Raw genomic sequence first — 27,351 nt, 5'->3', positions numbered from 1 at the left:
GTCAACTGGCCAGAACCAGTCCATGGTTGCTGGTCTTTTATCAAGAGAAAGCTACTGAAATCAGTCTCTTGTCTGATCAAAGGTGTAGTTATGGCTGGTGGAACAGGAGGCCAGTTAGTCGGTGTCTGGCAGTAGATGGTCGGCAATTGTTTCAGCATTGCTTATCTCCAGGCCAGGGCTTGTTTAGCTGCTAGAGAAAACAGAAAGCCTTGTGGCAGCTAGAACATAGCTTATTCTTTAAGTGCAGGGGGTGTGACTTACCCCGGGCCTCGCATGGCCTTAGGTCCTGTTTGTAATTTGATATCTCTTAGCCACAGAGTCGGTTCCATCACTCTTATGATTTCTATTTTAACACCCCTGTGCCCCTCTTTAGAGCAGGGATGTCATTTTTACCTCCTTGTGTTCCTCGTGCCCAGTATCAGGCCTTCTACCTTCACTCTCTCCCGTCTCACCTGTGAGCAGAACCTGTGAAGTTAGGGTCTTTTCCTCTTCCTAGAGTTTAAGCACTGGGGGGCTGGGACCTGGTTTGCCTTTAGGACGATGGGGCTAGACAATGAGGTAGGGGCTGTGACCTTGGCAAGTTCAGTCATTTCCCACTGGGCCCATCCAGCCAGGGCCTAGCTTTGGTCCCCTAGCCTGGGCCACAGCTCAGCCCTGGGCACTGTGAGAGAGGTCAGGGAGGAGCCGCAGCCTTTTGCCAGCTCCCAGGCCCCAACTTCTGTGAGCATTTCTGTCCTTGGAGAAGAAGCTGGACACAGGCTCAGAGAGCAATGAAAAAACAATGAAGGCCTTCAGGGAGGGCAATGTGCAGCCGTGTGTGTGTGTGTGTGTGTGTGTGTGTGTGTGTGTGTGTGTGTGTGTGTGTGTGTGTGTGTGTCTTAGGTTAGGCTCTCTAAAAGCAAAGCCTGAGATGGTTGGGGCTGGGGAGTTATGGTTTAGCCAAGTGATTTGCTGGGAAAATGCTCTCAAGAGAAACTGAGGGAATGAGTGAGGCAGCCAAGCAAAGATGTGGCTCAGGAAGCTTAGTCTCAGCCTGTTTCCAGGGGAGCTCTGGAGTATGACAGTGCCATAGTCACCCCACCTCTGTGTGTGTGTGTGTGTGTGTGTGTGTGTGTGTGTATTGTGGGGGAGAGGGGGTAATCTAGGCATTTGGCATTTCTGGCCAAGGCAGCTCTCTTGGCTAAAGGCAATTCCCTGGGGAAGGTGAGCACCCTGAGCTGTCAGCAGCTGGGGATGGATGCACCTGTCACCTTGGGGAGCCAGGAGGGGCACCGATGGCATCCACCGCCAGGACTGCTAAGATGGTGATGCTAACTGAGTGACGACCAGTCTGTACAGATGACAAAGCCCCTTCACACAATCAGCCCACTGAAAAGCACAGCTCTCTTGCAAGGGGTTGGGGAACTGTCCCTTTCCTGAGTTCCTGGCCCGCCTGGTTCTGTCCTAGAGGTCCTGGGAGGATTCTTTCCTGGGCTCAGTGGGGTCAGGCCTCTGAGGAATGGCCTGGGGAGATCTGGGCTGACCCCTCCCAGATACACTCAGGAGGGAGCCCCAGACTTCTTCTGGCCTTGGCACCTCTTCTCTAAACCTCCTCCTCCATCCTCTCCTGCCAGCTCCAGCCCAGGCGCAGATCGTGCATGCGGGCCAGGCATGTGTGGTGAAAGAGGACAATATCAGCGAGCGTGTCTACACCATCCGGGAGGGGGACACCCTCATGCTGCAGTGCCTTGTAACAGGGCACCCTCGACCCCAGGTAAGCCCCCAGCCCAGCCTTGCTCAGGCCCCTCCTACCCTCACCTTGCCTAGGCTCAGCACTTAAGAAGAGGCAGCAGGAGATGAGGACTCACGATGCACCGCAGCATGGAGGCAGAGAACAGGAGATGGGGGCTGGGGAAATAGCAGGAAAATTAACTCTGTGGGGAAGGGCTGGAGGCTATGGGCTCATTCACCTGAAAACATGGACGGCTGAGGGGAAAAATGGAATGCCGGTTGTTCAATTCCACTCCATTCCACGGATCTGTTGAGCAGACACATCCTTAGATGCACTTTCTAATGTGTCTGTGGGCAGACCATGTGCCAGGCACGGTGCCAGACACTTTCTCCAGTGTTTTCCCTGTGGAGCCTCACAGCTGTGCAGTGAGGAAGGCATTAGTGACCCCCTTTTGCAGCTGAGGAATTTGCGACTCAGTGAGGTTGGGTAAACTCCCAAGCGCACGCAGCTCTTGTGAGGATGGAAGCAGACATTGAATCCAGAACCAGTGTCCTCTTAGCTTACTCTGCTTCCTCCCAGCATGTCCATCTTTGAGTTGGGAACTTCAGGAGTGAAAATCAGCATAGAAAACGTGATCTCTATCTACTTCAGGTTTCTGGCAGGCAAGCTTCACACCCTTGAGGTTCAAAGATCCAAAGCAATTAGAAAGAAACAGAAAATAAGAATCTGGGAATGCCAGATGAATTTTGTCACCGTCGAAGTGTATGGCTCAGGCAGGAAGCACTGGCCTGTGATCACTGAGAGCTGAGGGGAGGAAGTAGGGAGGAGGTGGGCTGAAGGGATGGGAGGAATTTGCTGGTGAGCTACTGTGACCTTTAATAGCAACAGAAAGGGTGACAGTTGGATCCTAGAAAAGACAATGAAATACAAAATTCTTTTTTCTAGATCATTTTGGGAACATAGATGGCTTTAGTAGGTTCGGCCTTGAGACAGGCAGATGGACAAAAAGCTATGATCACTGCTGCTCCTTCTTAAAGGAGTGTTTTAGAAGGGAAAACAATGCTGCTGGAGTAGGTCGATGTCTGTGTCAGGTGTGATCATTAAAGGATGGAGGGTCCTCCCTAAAAGCCAGTGAGGCCTCTGGGTCATTCTCCCTAAGGCTGCACTGGCCATCTGTGTGTGTCCCCTTGGGTGTCCCTGTATGGGTCATGTGTGATTGTGGCTGTGTGTATGTGTACGTGGTTTTCTATTTCCATCAGTGGTTTCATTCGTTCTACCACCCAGGCGCAAACCCTTGGGCTCATATTTGACCTTGCATCTTCTCATTCCTCACATCTAGCCAGACTCTGAGGCCTTCCTTGTTTTTTTTTTTTTGAGATGGGGTCTCACTTTGTTGCCCAGGCTGAGTGCAGTGGTGTGATCACAGCTTACTGTAGCCTTGACCTCCTGTGCTCAAGTGATCCTCCCACCTCATCTGACCAAGTAGCTGAGACCACAGGTGTGTGTCACCATGCCTGGATCATTTTTAATTGTTTTTGTAGATACAGGGTGTCCCTATGTTACCCAGGCTGGTCTTGAACTCCTGGCTTCAAGCCTAGAACTCTTGCTTGAACTCTGGTCTTGAACTCCTGCTTCAGCCTCCCTAAGTGCTGAGATTACAGATGTGAAGCACTGTACTGGCACGCCTTTCTTTTTATGTTTCTTGCATGGGTCTTCTCTTCTCTTTTCTTCATTACCCCTCTGGGTCAGCCTATCAGTCCTGTCGCTTGGACCGTTGCAGTAGACTCTAAACTGACCTCCCAATCTCTCACCTCACCCCTCCTCCCATCTATTTTTTTTTTTTTTTCGAGACAGGGTCTTGCTGTGTCGCCCAGGCTGGAGTGTAGTTGTGCAATAAGGCTCACTGCAGCCTTGACCTTCTGGGCTCAAGCAATCCTTCCCCCTCAGCCTCCCAAGTACCTGGGACTACAGGCATGCGCCTCCATGCCCAGCTAATTTTTCTTTTCTTTTTTTTTTTTCAGAGACAGGTTTTCACCATGTTGCCTATGCTGGTCTTGACCTCCTGGGCTCAAGTGATCCTCCTGCCTCAGCCTCTCAAAGTGCGGGGATTACGGGCATGAGCCATTGCACCCAGCCCCCTTCAATCTGTTCCTGCACTTTGCTACCAGAATGATAACCCCTGTTGTGCTACATCATATCACTCCCCTGCTCAGAGATGTTCAATGGCTCCCCTTCATTTACCAGATTCATTCAAGCTCCTAGGGATGGAATCGAAGACCTTCTACAATCTGGCCTCCACCTGCCTCTCTTGTCTGATCTCCCACTGCCACCCTCCTCACACCCTGTGCTCTAGTCAGACTTGCCTCCCCATCATCCCCAAGTACATATCTGTTCGTTCCTGCTTTAGCCAAAGTTGCTTGCCTCTCCTAAAATGCCTTCTAGTTTTTTTGCTTGTTTCATTATAAGAAATATTTATTGAGCATCTGCTACATGCCAAGCAAAGTTATGGGTCCTAAAGATGCCCCTATAGTTTCTGTTCTCATGGAGCATCCAGACTACTAGAGAAACAAGGGAAATATCATCTCATGGCCCACTTAGTGGTCAAGATGGGGGACTAAGGGACTGAGGGAACATGGAGTGCCTCACTCCAAACAAGCTGTGAGAAGGAGGGATATCTGGGGGCCAGAAATGCAGACAGAATCTACAGTGATGGCAGGTAGCAGAAGTTGAGGAGCCTAGCCCATGAAGAGACTGGCACTGCATACACACTACTGATAGTTGTATTAACACACACATAAGGGGTATGCATTGAGGCTACAGGTCCATCCATGGCTGGGAGCTGGAATTGAACTCTACCTAAAGCTGGAAACTCAACAAGAGTGGCATCATCTATGAATGAGGACCAGAAGATCTCTGTCCCACAGCCCAGACTCACTGCAGGGAACAGACTGTCCTTCAGGGTGTGGATAAAAATGTAGCCACCTATGAGATAGCATAACCCTAAATCTGTCTGTATTTTGCAATATCCAAATAGTGAGGAAACCCTAACCTGAGAAACCAACATAAAAATGTTTTGGACATATGAATCCATGATCTTCGGTATAGGCAACCACCTATACCCAAGTAGTGAATGAGAAACAGGACCATAAAAGTCCAAGTAGGACTTCTATGGAAGATAATCCCACTGAGTACAAACCTGTGGAGTAAAATTTTAAAATATTAAAAAATACAGTGCCAGAAGAGTCAGTCCATAGACCCAACAAGGTGAATAATTCACAACTGAGGAACTAGAGAAAACAGAGCAATTTGAAAGGATCTTCAAAATTTAAAAAAATTAAATATTGGAAGAGATAATGGAAGGAATAGAATCCATAATACAGGAGATTATAAAACCTGATCAGTTAGGTACAGAAATTAGCAAACAGAAATCCTAGAAATAAAAATAATACAGTCTTTAAAAATGTTGGCCTCAGTACCCTAGAGATAGCTAAAGAAAAAATTAGTGAATTGGATAATAGATCTGAGGAAATCAGCCATGCATTTCCAATGGAGTCCAGGGAAGACAAAGAGACAGGAGATGTGAAAAAGAAGTTGAGAGACATGGAGGATAGAATGAGAAGCTACAACATAAATTTAGGCATTCCAGAAGGAATGAATAGAAAAAGAGAGGAGGCAATATTTAAAGAGATGAAGGACCAGGTGCAGTGGCTCACACCTGTAATCCTAGCACTTTGGGAGACCAAGGTGGGAGGACTGCTTCAGGCCAGGTGTTCAAGAACAGCCTGGGCAACATAGTGAGACCCTAGCTCTACCAAAAAAAAAAAAAAAATTAGCCAGGTGTGGTGGCACACACCTGTAGTCCTAGCTACTTGGGAGTCTGTGGCAGGAGGATCCTTGAGCCCAAGAGTACCACTGCACTCCAGCCTGGGTGACAGAGCAAGACCTCATCTCTAGTGATTAAAAAAAAAAAAAGAGAGAGATAAAGACTGAGAATTTTGTAGAATTGAAAAAAGGTAGGAACTCTCAGATGCATAAAGCATACCAAGGCTTGAGCAGTATGTAAACAAACTCCATCTAGACAAAATGTTTTATGTAAACATAAAACATCAAGTACAAAAGGATCAAATGTTTTCATGTCCCTGTTATCTCTCCAAAGAACTCTCTGATCTGGTATGTCTTGCCTGAAACTGCCTCTAACTTTTCCCAGGTTTTGTAACCTCTAGCTCCATGAGGGTAGAGTCAAATGCGGGCAGGGGATGAGAGCAGCAACACTGTGGTCCTGGGTGGTCCCTCCCTGCATGAGAAAGGTTGCCCTTTCACCCCTTCTCCCCAGCCTTGCTTTTCTGGCCTCTGGCCTGACCTGTTCATGAGGATCAGGCTGCCTGCCCTGTCTCTGTAATAAACAAGCCTCCCTACTTAAAGACTGAAGTCCCTACCCACTGCCCCTATCTCTACCCCACTCCTTAGACTTAGTTATCTAGAACTGATCTGTTTTTCTTAAAACTCTGGCACCTTGAGTAGTAGGCTTAGGTTTCTCATGCAATCCTTGATATTTTTCTATAATCTAAGACAATATTAATAATAATAGAAATTTGTTGAGTGACTAATGTATACCAGACACCGCACATAGGGGATTTATATACTTTCTTTGTAAACCTCATAATAATCTTGCAGAATGGGTATCATGGTGTATTAATCATGTATTACTGCATAACAAATACTCCAAAACTTAGGGGCTTCAAACAACATGTACTGTCTCACAGTTCCTGTGGACAGGAACCCGGGAGCAGCTTAGCTGGCTGGCTGTGGCTCAGGGTTTCTCACAAGGCTGCAATCCAGCTGTCAGGCAGGGGTGCAGTCATTGGAGGATGACTGAGACTGGAGGATCTACTTCCAAGCTAACTCACGCGGCTGTTGGCCTGAGGCTTCAATTCCTCCCCAAGTGAGCCCCTCCATTGGGCGGCTCAGGACCTGACAGCTGGCTTTCCCTGGAATGACTGACCAAGATGGAAATCAGTCTTTTTTTTTTTTTTTTTTTTTGAAACAGTCTTGCTCCGTTGCCCAGGCTGGAGTGCAGTGACCTGATCTCGGCTCACTGCAACCCCCGCCTCCCGGGTTCAAGCTATTCTCCTGTCTCAGCTTCCTGAGTAGCTGGGACCACAGGTGCGCGCCATAACGCCCGGCTAATTTTTGTATTTTTAGTAGAGCCGTGGTTTCACCATGTTGGCCAGGCTGGTCTCGAACTCATGAGCTCAGGTGATCCGCCCGCTTGGCCTCCCGAAGTGCTGGGATTAGTGGCGTGAGCCACCGTGCCCGGCCGAATCCATGCTCTTAACCACGGCACTGCGCGCCCCATTTAAAGCCTCTTCCCTCTGATCCCGGATTCCCCAGCTCTTGACTCCGTGGCATTCTACCCCGTCTGTGCATTCCCACGAGTCTGTCTGGGTTCGTTTCCTAGGCCTGCGTGTGCCCCACGTGCGCTTGTGAAAAAGTATGGGAGAAAGGGGGTGCCGTTGCAGGGCACTCAGCGCTGAGGCCCCCACCCCGTGTGAGTCTGACAGTCTGACTCTGCCCCGCCTGGCGGCCCAGGTACGGTGGACCAAGACGGCAGGTAGCGCCTCGGACAAGTTCCAGGAGACATCGGTGTTCAACGAGACGCTGCGCATCGAGCGTATTGCACGCACGCAGGGCGGCCGCTACTACTGCAAGGCTGAGAACGGCGTGGGGGTGCCGGCCATCAAGTCCATCCGCGTGGACGTGCAGTGTGAGTTGAGGCCCCCTCTCTCCCCGGGCCCTGACAGCCCAGCCCGGGCCAGAGGGCGCCCCAGGGATGAGGTGAGGTGGGGAAGTGGGCATGGGGTGGAACGGAGAAGCTGACCTTGGTGGAGGAGCCTAAGAGGTACCAGGCGGTGTGTACCACCCTCTACCATCTACACCTTCGCACCTGTAATCTCATATGAACCTTGCAACTTCCCTTGAGGTGAGCAGGGAGGGCAGGATGGGTTGATTTACACTCCTTCTGCAGATGAGAAAACTGAGGTCCCATGTGATTTGCCCACAGGCATGGAGCGGGGTAGCCTCAGAGCTGAGAGGAAGACACAGATCTCTTCCCCATTGTCCGCTGCCCTTCCCACAGTACCTCATGTCTCTGCTTTTGTCCTGCTGCAGCTCTGAGATTTCCCTCCTTACTACATTACATATAGGACCAAGCCCCACTCCCCAGGTCCTAGCTGCTAGCTGCATGAGAAGCTGCCAGTCCCTACCTGCTCTCCACGGGTAATCCTTTAGCCCGAGGAGCCTGTTTTCCTGAGTCATCCGTCAGGCTGAGTCAGGTACCCAGAAACTGTTGGCCCAGGCCCAGGAGCCTGTCTGGCACCATTTTAAGGCTTATAATGAACCTACCTATTAGCTATACATCCTCACACTCCCTAAGTGGGACTCAGTAGAGTGATGAACACTGACACCCCAGACCTCTCTTCTGTCCCTCATCAGCTAGCCAGGGTCCTGCCAAACCCTGGAGCTGAGGGCCATTTCTTAGGTTATTGGCCCTGGAAGAGGCTGGCAGGCATAGCCTGGACCCCACCAATGCCCACCTCCTCTCATGGCCATGGTGGTGACTTCTATCCCAGTAGGCTGTGGAAGGGGCAGAATGATGGGCTGCTGGAACATTCGTTGCAAGATGTTGGAATGTGTACTGTCAATGCCTGTGACTCACAGCCATACATTAAGCTCTCTAGGGGACCCTTTAAAAAAACGGATGCCTGGGGCTTCCTTCCAGAGATTCTGATGTAATTGATCAGGGGTGGGGCCAAATATCGATTCTTTCTTAAGCTTTTTAATTATTTTTTTAAAGTGAGGATTAATCAATAGAGTGTACTAATCTTAAGTGCAAAGGTTAATGATTTTTTACATATGTGTGTGTGTGTAAACAACTTCCAGTTCAAGAGATAGAACATTTCCAGGACTCTAGAAAGTTCCTTCATGCCCCCTCCCAGTCAATAATTCCCCCCTGGGAGGCAATCATTGTTCTGACTTTTGACACTATCAATGAGCTCTGCCAGGTATCAGTATTAAAAAGAAAATCTCCACGTAATGCTCTTGGGCAAACAGGGCCAAGAACTACTAAGCTACCTTAGTTTACCAATGAGGAAACAGGCCCAGAGAGAGAAGGGACTTAGGTGGGTCACACTACAAATTAACAGCTAAACTAGGATTTGAAGAAGCAGCTGCTTCCTCCATCCCATGATGGGAGATTGCAAAGCTAGACACCCTCATGCAGGTCCCTGGGAGGCACAGCTCAGAGGAAGTCTGGGAAGGCATCAAGTCCTGTTGTCTTGGCCGGATGCAGTGGTTCACACCTGTCATCCCAGCATTTCAGGAGGCTGAGGCGGGAGGATTGCTTGAGCCCAGGAGCTCAAGAACAGTCTGGGCAATATGGTGAAACCCTGTCTGTACAAAAAATACAAAAATTAGCCAGGTGTGGTGGTGCATGCCTGTAGTCCCAGTTATTCAGGAGGCTGAGGTGGGAGGATCAATTGAGCCCAGGAGGTTGAGGCTGCAGTGAGCGATGATTGCGCCATTCCCCTTCAGCCTGGGTGACAGAGTGAGACTCTGTCTCAAAAAAAAAAAAAGAGTCCGGGCGCAGTGGCTGATGCCTATAATCCCAGCACTTTGGGAGGCCGAGGTGGGCAGATCACAAGGTCAGGAGATCGAGACCATCCTGGCCAACATGGTGAAACCCCGCCTCTACTAAAAATACAAAAATTAGCTGGGCATGGTGGCATATGCCTGTAATCCCAGCTACTTGGGAGGCTGAGGCAGGAGAATTGCTTGAACCAGGGAATCAGAGGTTGCAGTGAGCCAAGATTGTGCCACTGTACTCCAGCCTGGTGACAGAGCAAGACTCTGTCTCAAAAGAAAAAAAAAAAAAAGGAAAAAGTCCTATCCCCTGCCTCTAACAGGTTAGTTAAGCTTGCAGGGCTGAGAGGGCATCTGGCAATCTGGAAATGTCTGTTGAGGGTGGCTCAGCTCTTCCTAAGGGCTGCCAGGAGCCTGAGCCCCCCAACCTTGGGGTCACCCAGTCCTGACTCCATGGGGGCTGTGCCCTTGCAGACCTGGATGAGCCAATGCTGACGGTGCACCAGACGGTGAGCGATGTGCGAGGCAACTTCTACCAGGAGAAGACGGTGTTCCTGCGCTGTACTGTCAACTCCAACCCGCCTGCCCGCTTCATCTGGAAGCGGGGTTCCGATACCCTATCCCACAGCCAGGACAATGGGGTTGACATCTATGAGCCCCTCTACACTCAGGTCAGGATGGGCAGCTGGCTCGCCCCATACCACTTCTCCTGCATCCAACAGGGGAGGGGGGCATGGGGCTGAGTTTTTGGGACTGCCTTGACTTCAACAATTCTATTCTTACTTTGGAAACACACATTCTGATTGGAGTTCAGACAGCCTGGGGCAGAAAAATCAGATGGAAAGGTCAGGGAGCAGCAATGAGGGCAGGAGTGTCCCCGAGGCAACATGTCCTCCAGGAACATTGCTAGTTAGGAAAAGGCACCCCTAGGGGCAGACAGGTCATCCCAGTCTGCTGCTGGGTGGCAGAGTATTGGGAACCTGTGGCCAGGCACAGCAGGATCTGGGGGCGAGGAGATGACTCCTCTTCCCATGGGCCCTGATAGTCCCAGGAGATGGTGGTGATGCCATTCTGCCAAGGAGGGCTTTCAGCGGTGGCTGCAGGCCAGCCCCATGTTTGTGTGGGTTGTACGAGTAAGTTCCCTTCTTACCCCTCCGTTTCCCAGACTGGAGAAACCAAGGCCTGGTACTTGCCAGTGTGCACAAGGGCAACCTCAGACCCAGAGAATCCCATGATGAGGCACTGCCAAGGCTATGGAGAGTGTAGCATCCACCCCAGGCTCAGGACCCCTGGGGCTAAATGGTGAGGGTGGGGTTGGGGATGGAAAGAGAGGAATTAGACAGGCATTTGTGGTAGGCTCTGGTGCTGGGTGAATGAGTATGCGGGATCCCTGGAGACTCAAGCAGGCACCTCACCCCAGTGGTCCACTGCTGCCCAGGGGGAGACCAAGGTCCTGAAGCTGAAGAACCTGCGGCCCCAGGACTATGCCAGCTACACCTGCCAGGTGTCTGTGCGTAACGTGTGCGGCATCCCAGACAAGGCCATCACCTTCCGGCTCACCAACACCACGGGTACAGGCATTTTCCTCCCCATACTCCTTCCCTACCTGAGCTAACTCCCAACCAGGAGATAGTGCCCCACCCCACAGGGACTCCAGGCACACTGCCACTAATGTCTGGCCCCTCCCCTCCTCTTCCTGCTCCGTCTTCTCCCCTCTCATCTCCCCTGAGGGCTTCTCCAGCCTCTATGGTTTTCCTAGCCCCTTACTCTCCCCAACATCCAGCCCTGCCTCACAGTCCCCTAAGACCCCCCTCCTTGTCCTCTTAGCACCACCAGCCCTGAAGCTGTCTGTGAACGAAACTCTGGTGGTGAACCCTGGGGAGAATGTGACGGTGCAGTGTCTGCTGACAGGCGGTGATCCCCTCCCCCAGCTGCAGTGGTCCCATGGGCCTGGCCCACTGCCCCTGGGTGCTCTGGCCCAGGGTGGCACCCTCAGCATCCCTTCAGTGCAGGCCCGGGACTCTGGCTACTACAACTGCACAGCCACCAACAATGTGGGCAACCCTGCCAAGAAGACTGTCAACCTGCTGGTGCGATGTACGTGGCCTCAGAAGGGGTGGGAGGGAAGTTGTGAGGCAGACAAGGTCCCTGGTCTTTGGGAGCTACCAATGAACTAGGAAAGGGGCCTGTCTGCTTCTCCTTGGTAGATGAGTCATGCAGAGGATGTTCCACGCCCTTCGATTTCCCTGCAATTCAGCTAACTGCCAGCAGATGGCAGAAGGAATAAAATTTGTATAAAGCTTTATTGACAGTTGACAATCTACATTTCCAAATGTAACCTCAACAATCCAAGAAGTAGGAAGGGCTAGGATTGATTACCTACATTTTTTTTTTAAGATTGGGAAACTGAGGCTGCAAAAGCTAAATGGGGACATTCTAGGCTTCAAGAGTAATTTCCTGGCTTTCTCCCTGTACAGTGGTTTCTATGTGATTAACTGAATTTAAGTGAAAATAACACACATTTCCATATGCCCTATATGGAAATATTTATTAGGGAAGTATTTAAGTGAATCTGAAGATAATTACTAAATGAAAAATGATACAAAACTTTGAGCACAGTCTAAAGAAGTATAAACATTTTTCTTATTAAACCTCAGCCTCAGTAATTAACTGCTCACTATGATCTTGATTTTGACACTCTGAATTAAGGAGAAAACTAAATTTTTCTGCTTGTGCAGCTTTAGGGATTTTGTTTGTTTTCTTTTCTTTTTTTTAAAATATATTTTGGCTACCTGAGAGCATCGATTCAAGTTGCCCTGAATATACACTCCCTGTTTGGTTTTGGTTGTTCTTTTTAAAGATCCAGGCTTGTTTCCAGCTCTTTAGCACTTGAACATAAAGTACAGCTTCTGCCGAACTCCACTGAGAGTCACTGATTACATGGACTCTCTTCATCTCTCACTGACCAGTCAGTTTCTTTCTGACTCTCCTCACAGAAAGAAACTAGCTCTCTGTGACTTTTTACTTAATCAGAGCAAGAAAGAAGGTTTAAAACTGTGACTAATGACTACTTTTTCCTTCGATGGTACTTTTCCCATCAGAAGATTATTTTTCTCCACCTGATTCCATTTGGCCTTTTAAGCCTGGGTTGGTAAGATCTCAATTTACATCAAATACTTATGGTCACCTCTTAGGGTGGCTGTAGAGCCCGCCTTTCCCAGCACAGACCTGACTTGTGCCTGTTGTGCCAGTGTCCTGTCCAGAAGGTTGGGTACCTGATTAAAAACTCGATTTAACTCTTGGCTTATTTCAAACATGATCCACATTTTTTTAAGAGGCCAGACCTTTTTCTTTCCAAATGCTGTGTTTTCATGTAATTGCATGTAAAGTGATCGTATTGGTCTCTTATTACAAAAATTACACTCACTTATTACAAAGAGTCAAACAGCACAAAAGAGTGAAATGTAAGAATTCAATTGTCAATTCTCCTCAGTTCCACTCTCTAGATAGAACCACTGTTATATTCTAGTGCATGCTTCCAAATGTGTATTTTGCATATTTAAAGTTTAAAACAATGATAAAAACAAAGCATTGTAGGGGTCAAGAGCTCAGACTCTGAGTTTGAATTCAAGATTGGCTACTTTTTTGGGCAAGTTACTTAAGCTGTCTGAGCCTCAGTTCCCTTCTTTGTAAAATGGGGGTAATAAAGCATCTCCTTCAGAGATTCTGGGATGGGTTAAACTAGTAAATCCATGTTAAGTGCTTGGAACAGTGCCTCTCACATAGTGTATATTCTGTTATTACCAAAACTGCTTTTCTGCAGTGACCTTTTTTGAACTTTTAAAGCACATCTGAACAAATGAAACAATTCCCAGGCAGAGAAAAGTGATAGTTTCACCTGGGGGAGTTGTAGCCCCCTATCCCCAGAAGGGCCAGCTAGAGGGGAGAAGCTGGGTCTGGGTTGGGGTGGGACATGGACCCCTGGAGTCAGGCCAACCCCAACTACCCTTCCCTCCCCATCCACTCACAGCCATGAAGAACGCTACATTCCAGATCACTCCTGACGTGATCAAAGAGAGTGAGAACATCCAGCTGGGCCAGGACCTGAAGCTATCGTGCCACGTGGATGCAGTGCCCCAGGAGAAGGTGACCTACCAGTGGTTCAAGAATGGCAAGCCGGCACGCATGTCCAAGCGGCTGCTGGTGACCCGCAATGATCCTGAGCTGCCCGCAGTCACCAGCAGCCTAGAGCTCATTGACCTGCACTTCAGTGACTATGGCACCTACCTGTGCATGGCTTCTTTCCCAGGGGCACCCGTGCCCGACCTCAGCGTCGAGGTCAACATCTCCTCTGAGACAGGTGGGCAGCTGGAGGGGCACTGCGGAAATGTGAGGGGGGTGGAGAGGCCCACAGACAGGAGGTAGTGGGGAGGCAACGGCTTGGGAAAGGGAAGCCAGAGTGAGGAGGCCACCACTTGTTCATGCCACGTGCTTTTATTGAGTCCCTGTTAATATGCCAGGCACTGTGCTAGGTCCTGGGGTAGAGCGGTGGGCAAAACAGGCTCTGCCCTCATAGAGCTTAGGAGGAAAGGCAAACACGTTTCAGATAGTCTCACAAATAAATATATCATTGCAAACTGTGATACATGAGAGCCTGGAAAGAGTTCCCTGAGGGCAGTGCAGCCTCAAAGGGAGAGACTACTCTTTAGCCTGTACGGTGTGTAGAGGGCTTGGGAGTTGGAATGTCTTAGTAGAACTAGAGCAGGGGCCCAGGGCTGTTTCCTCCATTTGGCTCATAGGCCTGATGTCTAGGGCATGGAAGTGTCTTAAGGGCCCGGAAAAATAAATTAATTGGTTCCAAAATACAAAGAAACAACTGCATAATTCAAGCCAATAAATGCATAAATGTTTATAGAGTATATATTATACTAACAAGATCACTGGACCTCAGCTTGCCTTGTAGAGCTATTTACAAATAAGAACTTTGTATTTAAATTATATTTAATGTGGAACATGGGTACATTTTAATTTGTTTGATGTAATGTGCAATGGGACTCATGGAAGTCTTCAAAAGACCCTCTGATTGGGCAATGTGTTGGGTTGAATTAAGTTCTGCCGTGAATAAAAGAAATTAACAGTGTTATTAACAGAAATAACCCTAATTAACAGTGGCTTAAACTAGCTAGATGTGTATTTCTTCTTCATGTAAAACTGTGCTGGTGAGCAGTCAGGGCTAGTATAGGGGCTCTGCTCCACCAAGTCCTCAGGGCCCCAGGCTCCACCTGGCTTGCTCTTCCATCATCCTTAGCATGTGCCACGTTGCCCATGATGGCAGTTCCAGCTGCAGCCATTATTCTGCATTCTTTTCTGCAGGAAGGAGAAGAGGGGTACAGCTTCTTTTAAACGCCCTCATTTTCCTTAGTATCCCATTGGCGAGAATTTAGTCACGTGGCTGTAGCTAACGATAATGCAGGCTGGGAGATGTACTCTTTTTTCTGGGTGGCTATAAGCCCTGCTGAAAACTAGGTATCCTATTACTTAGGACGAAAGGGCAAGGATGTAGGACAGACTAGCAGCCTGTGATAACACACTAGGGCAAGAGAAGATGAAGTCTTTAAATAGGCCAGGGCCCGGAGTAGGACAGAAGGACCAAGAATGGATATATTTAGAAATGTTTAAGAGGTGGAATCCCTAGTACTTACTAGTGCTGGGGAAGAAGGAATATAGGCCAGGCTGACTTCAGGTCTCTTTTTGAGTTGGGAGACACTGAGGTGGAGACCCAGGAGATGGAGAGGATTTGGAAAAGTGAGTTCTGCTTTGGAAATACTGGGGGACCAGTCGGAAGTCTGGGATGGGAGAGAGAGGCTTGCCCCTAGCGGGAGGTAAGCAGGAGCCAGAAGGCAGAGCCCAGTGGGGAGCTCTAACTCCGCTCCTACCTCTCCGCTGATCACCATCACCCCCACAGTGCCGCCCACCATCAGTGTGCCCAAGGGTAGGGCCGTGGTGACCGTGCGCGAGGGATCGCCTGCCGAGCTGCAATGCGAGGTGCGGGGCAAGCCGCGGCCGCCAGTGCTCTGGTCCCGCGTGGACAAGGAGGCTGCACTGCTGCCCTCGGGGCTGCCCCTGGAGGAGACTCCGGACGGGAAGCTGCGGCTGGAGCGAGTGAGCCGAGACATGAGCGGGACCTACCGCTGCCAGACGGCCCGCTATAATGGCTTCAACGTGCGCCCCCGTGAGGCCCAGGTGCAGCTGAACGTGCAGTGTGAGTCCACCACGCCACCCGGACTACCTTCCCAGCTTTCCTTCTGGCTCCCAGCCGGCCTGTCCCCTCTTCATCCTCTCACCCACCCCAGTCCAACCAAACCCCACCAGCTACTCCTGATACCCCTAATGCTCCTTGACAGCCCCATGCTGTAGGACACGGAGGTCTGTGTTCTTTGCTCCATTTCATCAAGTATCTCCCATCTTCATTTTCAGGGACCCGGTGAACAAAAAAAAAATTACTTGATTTTGCCAGGTGGAAATGGGATTTTGAAGGAGGAGGAAGGACACTCAAGGGAAACACTGTCTGATAACAGGATGATGAAAATTACCACCATGTGCCAAACACTGTTCTAAGAGTTTTAATGCACTAACTCATTGAACCCCCCACAGCCCTATAATAGATTCTATTATTCCCCCATTTTTACAAACAGGGAACCCGAGACACGGAGAGGTTGAGTAACTTGCCTAAAGTCTCACAGAGTCAGGGCTGGGATTTGAACCCAGCCCATCTAGCTTTAGAGATTATGCGCGAAACCCCTGCGTTATCCTGCATTTCATTGCTTGGGGTGGGCGTGGGGTGAGGGGCCCACTTAGGGCGTGACTGGAGGCCGGGTCTGGGAAGCATGGCTGGAGAGAATGGCCAGGAGGGAGTGGGTATCTGCAGGTTGGGAGGTAAGATCGTGGCCATTGGAGGGATGTGTTGCGAGTGTGCATCCGCCCTGGGATTTTTCCTGGCGGGGGCTCACGGCATTAGAGGCGAGCGCGTTGCCTCCCCACGGGCCACTCCTCAGGCCCCACTCGCTGGGGAGAGGCCCCGCTGACCGCCGCTCCCGCCCCCAGTCCCGCCGGAGGTGGAGCCCAGTTCCCAGGACGTGCGCCAGGCGCTGGGCCGGCCCGTGCTCCTGCGCTGCTCGCTGCTGCGAGGCAGCCCCCAGCGCATCGCCTCGGCTGTGTGGCGTTTCAAAGGGCAGCTGCTGCCGCCGCCGCCTGTTGTTCCCGCCGCCGCCGAGGCGCCGGATCACGCGGAGCTGCGCCTCGACGCCGTAACTCGCGACAGCAGCGGCAGCTACGAGTGCAGCGTCTCCAACGATGTGGGCTCGGCTGCCTGCCTCTTCCAGGTCTCCGGTGAGCGTCCAGTGGGTCCCGCCCCACCTACCACGCCCACCAGGGGCCAGGCTCTGCCCCAATCCCAGCCCGGGTGATTCTTTGCCTGGGTGGGCCTGCTGGCCCCCTTGAAGCCCACCTACTCCAGGCTTAGCCCCGGCCTTTCCAAGACCCGCCCACGCCAAGGCCAGGCCCCGCCCCGTGCCACTCGGATCCCAACCTGGGCCTCCCAGCCCCGCCCTCCAGGTGCGGGCCACGCCCCTCCACTCACACCTTCCCTTGAGGTTGAGGCCTTCGCCTTCCAAGGCCCGCCTATGCCTATACCAGTCCTAAGCCCCGCCCATTACAGCTCAGCCCGCTTCCTGGGCGTGTGACAACCGCGCCGCTTTCAAACATAGCCTTCCCACAGGCCTAGGCTTCGCCTCTCTACCAGCACCCAAACCAGGCCTAGACCCCTTCGAAACCCATCCAAGCCACGTCTGGGCTCCGCCTGCGTAAGGCGTAGGCTCCACCCCTTTCAGCTCGGTCCAATCCCAGCTTCCAGCCGTTCCAGCAGCAGGCAGCATCCCTTCCAGCCCCGCTTCCACCAGCGTTAGAGCCCCTCAAGCCCAGGCCACAGCCCCATCTCAGCCCCTCCCCGCTCGTCCTTGACCCCTGAGGCTACAGATGGGGAACCCTTCGGGAGCCTGAGGTGTAGTTTAGGGGAGAGAAGACGCCCCTCAGCAGCTTCTCTGGAACGTTGTTGCGGGGCACTGGGCCAGACAGCACACGTTTCGTGAGCTGGCACCCTAGAGGTGCAGGCCCTTCGGTGCCCAGAAACCCCTCTCAGCCCCAGCTCTTCGAGGCATTCTCAGGTGGGCTGTCAGGGGCTGCAGGTGGCAATGGGTGGGTCAGAAAGGGGTGGAGGTGGTGGTGAGGGAGGCCTAGGGGAACAAGAGGGGCTGCCTGGGTTGCTGATGGTCTTCCTCCATGTGAGGAGAGCCGCCTCCCTGCAAAAGCTGGTGGCAGCGCCCCTGGAGCAGAGCCTGGGGATGTCTGTCCCCCATTCAGTGGCATACACAGCTTTCCCAGCAGCACCCAACTGACTAAGTGGCCCTTCAGCTTCTGTTTGAATCCCTCACTCAACAGCAGGGGGATAGGACGGCAGGTCACTGGCCCTTTCCCCACTCCCCTCCACCCAGCCCTGCCAGCCAGAGGCCCCTGTGACATTTCCCACCTCCTTCCCTTCTCCCCTGTTCTCCCACACTTTCCCTGTCTCCCCACTCCTCTCTCTATTCCCCTCCTCTCCCTTCTCTTTCTTTCCTCCCAATATCCCTGACTCTTGTGTCTTTCCCCCAATCTCTTTCCCCATCTTCCCTCATATCCCTTTTCTGTGTCTTCCTAAATTTCTCTTTACTCTGTTTTTTTCTCGGCCTGCCTTTCTCTTCTCACCAATATCACCTCTTGGAATTTCCAATCTCCCTGTCTCCATCTCCCACTTTCCCTCCTATCCCATCCTCGTTTTCCCCAATCCCCTCTTCTCCCAACGTTCCCCACCTCACAATATTCCCTTTCTCTTTGTTTCTCCGTCCCCTCTCTGTTTTCCACCTCATCCTCTTGTTTCCCTTTCCCACACCTCCTCTCTTTGTGTCTCCCCTGCACCCTCCACGGCCCAATGCCCCCCTCCCCGCCCTCTTAGCCAAAGCCTACAGCCCGGAGTTTTACTTCGACACCCCCAACCCCACCCGCAGCCACAAGCTGTCCAAGAACTACTCCTACGTGCTGCAGTGGACTCAGAGGGAGCCCGACGCTGTCGACCCTGTGCTCAACTACAGACTCAGCATCCGCCAGGTGGGCCAAGGGGGAGCGGGGGCCTGGGGGCAGGTGGAGTGTGGTGTGGCTGACCCTGGAAATGCTCATCAAGGCCAGAGGAAGGGTCGGAGATGGGGCTTAGACACGTTGACCCTTTTAGAGGCAATTCTTCAGGGGCAGGGAGAAAAGTTTTGGACATAGCAGCAAGAGATTGGAGGTTCTAGGGATCTGTCCCTTCTGGACCCAGACTCTAGGCACAGCTCTGAGAATTGGGCAGGCAAGGGTCTGCTGGGTTCGTGGGGGAGGGAGCCAGCACTGCTCACAGAACATAGAATCAACTCTTGGGTCAAGAGCTTAAGAAGGGTATGGGAGAGGGGAGGGTAAGTCTCATCCAGGGGGTCTCCACCATGCAAAGCCAGGGTCTCTCTGTTGTTCTCGTGCCCAGTCTGATTCCATGTGCTTCTGCTCAGCCCAAGAGGTGATTGGTGGGAGGGTAAGAGTGTGGCTCAGGGGCAGACTGCCTAGACCAGAACCCAGCTTTGTGTGAGCTACAGCAAGCTACTCTCTTTGGCCTCAGTTTCCTTATCTGTAAAATGGGGGTAATTATGATTTTTGCCTCATAGGATTGTAATTTTGAGGATTAAATGACTTACTAATGGCAATATACTTAGAACAGTGCCCCACACTTATTAATGTTTCAGTGTGTTGCTGTCATCATTTTTATTATGAAGACAGCCCTGGGAGGTGGGCACGGAAGGGGTGATTGTCCTGTCTCACAGATGAGGAAACTGAGGGCCTGACTTCCTAGGCATCTGGGAACTCTCTGTACTTAACAGTTGAACCAGCACAATGCGGTGGTCAAGGCCATCCCGGTCCGGCGTGTGGAGAAGGGGCAGCTGCTGGAGTACATCCTGACCGATCTCCGTGTGCCCCACAGCTATGAGGTCCGCCTCACACCCTATACCACCTTCGGGGCTGGTGACATGGCCTCCCGCATCATCCACTACACAGAGCGTAGGTGACAGTGGTGGCGGTAGGAAGGATGGGCCCATCTCATGGCCAGGGACCCCTTTCACCATCCTCATGTGGTTCCTAAGCTTGGGGTTCCCCACCGTGTACTACCTTGTCACTGCAGGCCAGATCCGCTGGCCCCCAGTCCTGGCTCTGAGGACCCTGTCCTCTGGTCCCAAGCAGGGTATCCTCTGCAGAGCCCCACACCTCAGTTCTGACTTGGTTTCCCCGCTTGCTTTCTCAGCCATCAACTCTCCGAACCTTTCAGGTGAGACTCCCCAGTCACCCATGACTTCCCCTTCCCTTTAGGGACACAAAGGCTCTCCTGGTGAGAGAAAGGAGATAGGCTATCCTTGAGATAGTCAGAGAGAAAATGAATTCCCCCTGTGTTTCCATGGGGTAGGGCCAGAGGCTAGAAGGAGAAGCAGGGTTGGGCTGGAGATGTTTATATCTGGGATTTATTCTGGGGTTTAAAGGCCAGGTAGGTGGGGAGAGGCTTACTGTCCCAAAAGCAAAAAGGAGAGGCTGGGCTCATCTACACCCCTTGTTGCCTGAGTCAGGGGTTCTTAGTCTGTGACCCATGGACCTCCAAAGAATCTATGTATAGAATTCAGGCAGTCTATGAACATGGAAAGGCATACAATTAATTTCTTTTTTTTTCTTTTGAGATGGAGTCTCACTCTGTTGTCCAGGCTGGAGGGTAGTAGCACAGTCTCGGCTCACTGCAACCTCTGCGCCTCCCGGGTTCAAGTGATTCTCCTGCCTCAGCCTCCCAAGTAGCTGGGATTACAGGCATGTGCCACCGCACCTGGCTGATTTTTGTGTTTTTAATAGAGATGGGGTTTCACCATGTTGCCCAGGCTGGTCTTGAACTCCTGACCTCAGGTGATCCACCCGCCTCGGCCTCCCAAAGTGCTGGGATTACAGGTGTGAGCCACCATGCCGGCCTCAATTATTTCTTTATTTTCCATGTCTTCTAGCAGAAATTTAACATCCCCTTCAATGATGAATGGAGGACCCAAACCACAGTAGTAAAATCAGGACCTGTGATTTTGTCAGCAGTAGAAATCCTGTGTTCTCACCTTACCTTACAGTTGTTCCAGATATCTCTAAATATCATTTATATCCATTTGTATTTCAAAACTATAGTAGTTACTAGACCTAACACTAGATCTTGTGATTTAATTAGATAATAAAGAAGCCTACTTATGATTTTATAACAAATTGAAAAATATTTTGACAACTGTATTTCGATATAATTGATTTTCTTTATAATCCTATACATTTCATTTTATGTGTCTAAAATCATTATTCTGAGATTATCCTTAGGCTTCACTAGTTGCCAGAAGGGCCTAGGGCACAAAAAGGGTTAAGAAGTCTTGTTATGGCAAGAAATTTGTTATGGGCCCCATGCCTGGTCTTTTGAAGCCCGGAATCCTGGGTGCCTTGCTTGGATGCATGGGAGCTGCCTCTGGGGGGTGAGAGGGGCGAGGCTGGGCCTCAGGGACTGAAGAGGCTGACTCTTTGTCTCATTCGCCCCATAAAATGCAGACAACACCTGCCACTTTGAGGATGAGAAGATCTGTGGCTATACCCAGGACCTGACAGACAACTTTGACTGGACGCGGCAGAATGCCCTCACCCAGAACCCCAAACGCTCCCCCAACACTGGTCCCCCCACCGACATAAGTGGCACCCCTGAGGGTGAGGACCTGGCCTGCTGCCAGAAATGGAGGATTGCTTCAGGGGGGTGTCTAGGCCCAGGGCACCCCAGACTGGGGATGAAGGGAGACGGCTCCAGTCTGAGGGAGACGCAGCCCTGTTCTCAGGGAGCTCTGGTCTGAGGGGAGACACAGCCTCGATTTCAGGGAGCCCTAGTCTGAGGTGAGACACAGCCCCATCCTCAGGGAGCCCCAGTCTGAGGGAGATGCAGCCCTGTCCTGATAGAGGATCAAGAGGAAGAGGAATTACAGTAGAGCCAAGGACTCATGAGCACTGACCAGACTCCTGTGCTGTGAGGCAGGATGCGTGGGGTGAGGCAGGATGCGTGGGGGTGAGGCAGGATGCGTGGGGGTGAGGCAGGATGCGTGGGGTGAGGCAGGATGTGTGGGGTGAGGCAGGATGCGTGGGGTGAGGCAGGATGCGTGGGGCGAGGCACTTCAGATTCAGCCCGCAGAGGCCTAGGCAGAGAGGGAATCAGGTAGGAAGAGGCCTGGCTGTCTTGGGGGCTGTTGGCGCATCTCCCCATTCCCCGCAGGCTACTACATGTTCATCGAGACATCGAGGCCTCGGGAGCTGGGGGACCGTGCAAGGTTAGTGAGTCCCCTCTACAATGCCAGCGCCAAGTTCTACTGTGTCTCCTTCTTCTACCACATGTACGGGAAACACATCGGTGAGTTGGGGGGCCAGGTAGTCTCCACCAAGTGTGTGCTGGAGGATGGGAGGGGAGTGGGGTCCACAGGAGGCGATGGGCTGGCCCATGTGAGGCCTCAGCTTCCCCACTTGGCTAAATGAGAGGTCCTTGGACGGGTCTGCACAGAGAATTGGCAAGAGGAGTTGAAAGCCAGCTTGTCCGAGGTTTTGAGATGATCAGGGTGTCCTGAGCCTGCAGATAGAAGACCCCAGCAGGGGACGGACATGGTGGCTCACGCCTGTAATCCCAACCCTTTGGGAGGCCAAGGCAGGTGGATCACCTGAGGTCAGGAGTTCAAGACAAGCCTGGCCAACACGGTGAAACCCCGTCTCTACTAAAAATACAAAATTAGCTGGGTGTGGTCGTGGGTGCCTGTAATCCCAGCTACTTGGGAGGCTGAGGCAGGAGAATCACTTGAACCCAGGTGGTGAAGGTTGCAGTGAGCTGAGATTGTACCATTGCACTCCATCCTGGGCAGCAAGAGCAAAACTCCATTTCAAAAAAAAAAAAGGAAAAAGAAAAGACTCCAGCAGGATGAGATGGAAGTGGAGGGGATGGAGAAGACAACTAAGAGGATGCAAATATGGAGTGACTGCCAGGTGATGTCCTGGGTGCGCCGCATCCTTGATTGCATTAACCCTCACAGCCACCAGATGAGGGAAGTGTTACCATCCAACTCAGAGACGTCAAGCATTTTTCCCAGACCACACAGTAAGCTAGATCTGTGTGACTTCTCCAAGCCCTAAACATGAGATCGGAAGGGTGCTTCTTTGTGGGCAGTGAGAGGAAGTCCTGCTTCCCAAGTGAGGGAGTGAACATAAGGAGTGCCCTTTGGCAGGCAATGGTACTGGTAGGAGCGTCACATAACCAGTGTCAGCCATCACTTCCAGAGCTCCTGCTCAGTTCCAGGTATCAGGTGCTGTAGTGAACGAGGTGGACGAGTTCCCCATCCTCTTGGCATTTACAGGCAAGTGGGAGAGACAGGTATTAAACAACTCATGCTACCAGCCAGGAGTTAGTGACCCCTGTGGCAGTGGAAGGACAGGGGCTGAGACTGGTGGTAACAGGGAGACCTGCCTGACCCCGCGGCATGGTCATGGAAGACTCTGCTGAGGACATCATGATTTTTTTAAAATTGTTTTTGTTTGTTTACTTGTTTATAGGAAAGGTAATACATTTCACAAAGGCCAAAAGGTACAAAAGGGCACATAATGCAGACGCCCTCCCATCCCAGTTGATCTGCCAAAGGTGATTAATAGACTAGATTTTAGGGCAAATTTTCAGAGATACTTTATCCAATAGAAACCAGTACATATGGCCGGGTGAGGTGGCTCACACCTGTAATCCCAGCACTTTGGGAGGCCGAGGCGGGCGGGACACCTGAGATCAAGAGTTCGAGACCAGCCTGGCTAACATGGCGAAACCTCGTCTCTACTAAAAATACAAAAATTAGCCAGGCTCACGTGATGGCAGGTGCCTGTAAGGAGGCTGAGGTAGGGAGAATTGCTTGAACCCAGGAGGTGGAGGTTGCCGTGAGCCGAGATCACGCCACTGCACTCCCAGCCTGAGTGACAGAGTAAGACTCCGTCTCAAAAAAAAAAAAAAAAAGAAAGAAACCAGTACATATATATATATATATACATATATATAATCTATTTCCTCCCATTTTACACATACCATCCTATACTTGCTTTTTCCCTCTGAATTGTACATCATCTTGGTGATTATTCCTTGTCAGTCCACAGAAAGCATCTTCACTGTTTTCCTCAGCCGTAATGGTAGACGGAGTGACTTTAAGCAAATGTAGATATAAAGGCTCATCGTGGAGAAGTTTCCACAGCTAGGGTGATGGGTCAAGCTGAACTGATGAACAAGAATGGAGTGGGATAGAAGATTCTGCATCCACTGGGGCTCCCAAACCATTTGCACAGATCATTTTGCCCGTGGCTGGGTCTGGACTTCATAAGAAGCTTCTTCTGGGGTAGGTGAGAGTGGATGACCAGGACTCCACCACCCTGCCGAGTCCTCTCATTTCCATTTGGCTTCCCCAGGTAGGACAACCAGTTCATTTGGGTTTACTCCCATCTTTCCTAATTTTAGCACTGGCTATGTTTTATGTGGTGAATAAAGCTAGCCCTTAAAACTCAGTATTTCTCTAATACTGATGCTTATGACAAAGTTCAAAAAAGAAAAAAAGAGTGAGTTAGTTTAAAGAAAGATATTAGCACATGTGTTACATAACTTGGTCAAGATAGCGAAAGGGGAGATTTTGGAGGCATTAGCCTGGGGGTGCTCAGCCCATTTGCCCATAGCCATAGGGACCTGGAATTCTGGGGTAACTGAGGGGTGCTAGAGGAGAAGGAGGTGATCAGAACTTGGCTAAGAGTGCCCAGACAACACCAATGCCCCCTCCCTGTCCCTTCCAGCTCACCTCCAGCCCGCAGTGATATGAGATACCTGGCTCTGAGGGAAGGGGAATCAATCTTAGATGGTGCCCGTTGGCTGGCATTTCCATGGCACTTCCCATAGACAAAGGTGTACCATCTGTGACACCAGATAGACAGACCCCCTGGTGGGAGAGAGCCACCAAATGTTACCTGCCTGGGATGAAATGAGTTGGCTTGGACCAAGGAGAGCCAGCAAGACACAAGGTCTGGGGACAGCTGGTGCCCAGAGCTGCCAGGCAGAGTGGGAGGGGAGGAGGGAAGAGGAACTAGGATAGCAAGAAACACCCTGTCCCCCATGGCAAAGCCAGGCAGAGGAGCACATTGAAGTTTCCCGGCATGTGGAGGCACCTTCGCCAGCAGGGGGTGGGACCTTGAGAGGCTGTGCCAGCACCCAGTAGAACAGGAGGTACTCACCCTGGCTTTCACAGGGCCCAAGCCCCAGTGTCTTCCAGGATCCTCACCAGCCCCAAAGGAACGGCTCTCTCTTCTCCCTCCTGGAGATATGCCCCCTGTCCCCATTCCCCTGGGATCTAGCCTCAATTCCCATACCATTTCTTCCTCCTCCACTGCCCTGCCCCAAGGACACTGATGGGGAAGGCTGCTTTTTCACCGTCCCCTCCCCTCAGCACCCCATCAGCTCCAATGTCCCCCCTGCTCAGGGGCTTCCTGACATCCCTTTACAGAGGACATCCAGGACCCCCAACCTTCCTTTTGAAAAGGGCCTGTTCAGGCTCAGTGGCTCACGCCTGTAATCCCAGTGCTTTTGGAGGCCAGGAGTTCTAGACCAGCCTGGGCAACATAGCGAGACCCCATCTCTACTAAAAAACTTTTAAAATTAGCCAGGTGTGGTGGTGCGTGCCTACGGTCCTAGCTACTTGGGAGGCTGAGGTGGGAGGATTATTGAGCCCAGAAGTTTGAGGTTGCAGTGAGCCATGATTGTACCACCAAGACCCTGTCCCCGCACCGCCCCCTCCGAAAAAAGAATGAGCTTTGCTCACTACACTCCTCCGTATCTGTCTTGCCACATCTAAAGCCAAGCAGAACTGTATGCTAGTGCCTGGATAGACTCCAGCTTTCCAGCCTCTGGGCTTTTGCTCAGCCTATTCCCTCTGCTTAACATGCCCTCTTACCACATTCCCCTGGCCAAATCCTTCCCACTCCTCAAGGGCTGTCAAAAACACCACCTCCTCCAGAAGTCTTCCTAGGTTTGAGCTGGGAGCCCTCTATCCTTCCGGTGAACTCTGAGTCCTTAACGTACAGCTCCCCAGGCCCAGACCACTCTCTGCTCTGCGGTATGGCAGTCCCTGGGATTCACATCTTCCCTTCCCTATTTGACTCCTTGCAGGAAGGTCTGTGTCAAACTCCTATCAGTTCCAATAATTAAATTCTGAATGAAGAATTTTCCGTAACTCTTATCAAGGACTTTCATAGAATCTCAGAGTTGGAAGGACCTCAGGGTTCATGAAGACCAAATCCTATCATTCATTTATTCATCCATCTATTCATTCACTTAACTAATTGAGCACCATTATATGCCAGGCACTGTTCTAGGACACTAGAACAAGACAAAGGCCCCTGTCCTTGAAGAGCTTACAGTCTACTGGTGCCAAGCCTTATAAAGAAAATAATGCAGAAAAAAGAACAGAGAGCTATTTTACATGGGGTGGTCAGGGACTTCCTTGAGGGAGGGAAGAATGTTCCAGGCAGGGGCAACATCACAAGCAAAGGCCCTAAGGCAGGAACTGGCCCTCAAGTGTTGAAAGAAAAGCAAGGATACCAGTTTGCTAGACCCGAGTGGCAGCAAATGAGATCAGAGAAGCTGACAGCGCCCAGATCAGGTGTGGAAGGCCAGGAGAAGGACAGCGATGGGAAGCCTCAAAGGAGACTGAGCAGAGGGGGTAACATGATTGGAGACAGGGGTCCCCTCCGCAGCAGCCCTGCTGGATAGTCCTGTCCAGGGACAGGATGCTCCCCCAAGACAGCCCACTCTTTTGCTGGGCAAATCCGATACATCCAGGGTCTTCCTTAGATGCAGTTCAAATCTGCCTCCTGCAAGCTTTCACTTGCTGGTGTTTATTCCACCCCATGGGGAATGCAGAGCACGGACAGTCACACAGACTGTCCTCTCTGGCCTTCTGGACCCAACATACTCCTCTTGCCAACTGGGTATTACTGGACCTTACTGGGCCTTACTGGACCCAACATACTCCTCTTGCCAACTGGGTATTAAACATTTTAAAAGCCCTTCATCTCCCTCCACAAGTCATGTACTGCCAACAGGGACACACTGTTTTCTTTGGAAACCCTGCTGCGTGCCCAGACAGAGGTCCCACTGCCCTGGGACAGCTCCCTTGCCTAGAGGGGAAGGGTAGGGTGTGTGTGCATGTGTGTGTTTGGGGTTGGGGAGATTAGCTGATTAGCAGGGCAGGAAAGAAATGAAAGAAAATTTGCAAGTCATCCTGATGAAATGAAATCCTGCTGAAGTCTTCTCTTTCCCACACTGAGGGTGTCCCTGCAGGAATGGGACATTGCACCCAGCTGGGCATGGGGAGGAGGTCCTGTCAACAGGGACAGGGCTGCAGGCTATGGTGGGAGAAGAGGGCTTGGTAAATGTGGAAAGGTGAGGGTGCCCTGGCCAGATCTCACTGCCCACTGTCTTCACACCCACCGCAGGCTCCCTCAACCTCCTGGTGCGGTCCCGGAACAAAGGGGCTCTGGACACGCACGCCTGGTCTCTCAGTGGCAATAAGGGCAATGTGTGGCAGCAGGCCCATGTGCCCATCAGCCCCAGTGGGCCCTTCCAGGTGAGTCCGTAGGGCCCAGAGGACCCTCCCCGGCTTCGGTGGTTGCTGTGGCCAGGAAACACTTAGGAAAACCTTGTCCTTCTTCCTGGGGGCTAAGGATGGAAAGAGTCAGGTTAGGGGGAACTTCCAGGTAGATTAAGGGGAAAGGTGGGGTCGAGGGAGCACTCT

The 27,351-nt window shown here is 51.4% G+C and overlaps 1 protein-coding gene across 6 annotated transcripts in view, besides 1 other annotated feature; it reads left to right on the top strand.

Moving 5' to 3' along the window:
* MDGA1 (MAM domain containing glycosylphosphatidylinositol anchor 1) overlaps positions 1-27,351 on the top strand; it is a 67,205-nt gene that overhangs the window by 32,164 nt on the left and 7,690 nt on the right. For 4 of the 6 annotated variants that reach the window (NM_153487.4, XM_017010734.2, XM_006715056.4 and 1 more), the window contains exons 2-15: positions 1,614-1,753; positions 7,301-7,475; positions 9,824-10,020; positions 10,788-10,920; positions 11,177-11,446; positions 13,380-13,709; positions 15,315-15,611; positions 16,454-16,738; positions 18,396-18,547; positions 19,345-19,522; positions 19,764-19,787; positions 21,071-21,223; positions 21,777-21,911; positions 27,053-27,183. In NM_153487.4, the coding sequence (NP_705691.1) occupies positions 1,614-1,753; positions 7,301-7,475; positions 9,824-10,020; positions 10,788-10,920; positions 11,177-11,446; positions 13,380-13,709; positions 15,315-15,611; positions 16,454-16,738; positions 18,396-18,547; positions 19,345-19,522; positions 19,764-19,787; positions 21,071-21,223; positions 21,777-21,911; positions 27,053-27,183 (2,600 nt within the window). Of the gene's footprint in view, positions 1-1,613; positions 1,754-7,300; positions 7,476-9,823; positions 10,021-10,787; positions 10,921-11,176; positions 11,447-13,379; positions 13,710-15,314; positions 15,612-16,453; positions 16,739-18,395; positions 18,548-19,344; positions 19,523-19,763; positions 19,788-21,070; positions 21,224-21,776; positions 21,912-23,670; positions 23,914-27,052; positions 27,184-27,351 lie in introns of those variants that run through there. The other 2 variants (XR_926141.3, XM_047418638.1) reach the window with 2 other exon arrangements.
* Positions 16,915-17,014: a silencer, noted in NCBI's record as "silent region_17144". NCBI's record gives its function as "represses an Ori minimal core promoter by ATAC-STARR-seq in GM12878 lymphoblastoid cells {active_cell/tissue: GM12878}" and the evidence as "EXISTENCE:reporter gene assay evidence [ECO:0000049][PMID:35858748]".

This window comes from Homo sapiens, chromosome 6 (assembly GCF_000001405.40).
Source record: "Homo sapiens chromosome 6, GRCh38.p14 Primary Assembly".
Classification (NCBI taxonomy): Eukaryota; Metazoa; Chordata; class Mammalia; order Primates; family Hominidae; genus Homo; species Homo sapiens.
This window is presented reverse-complemented; position numbering and strand designations above follow the sequence as displayed.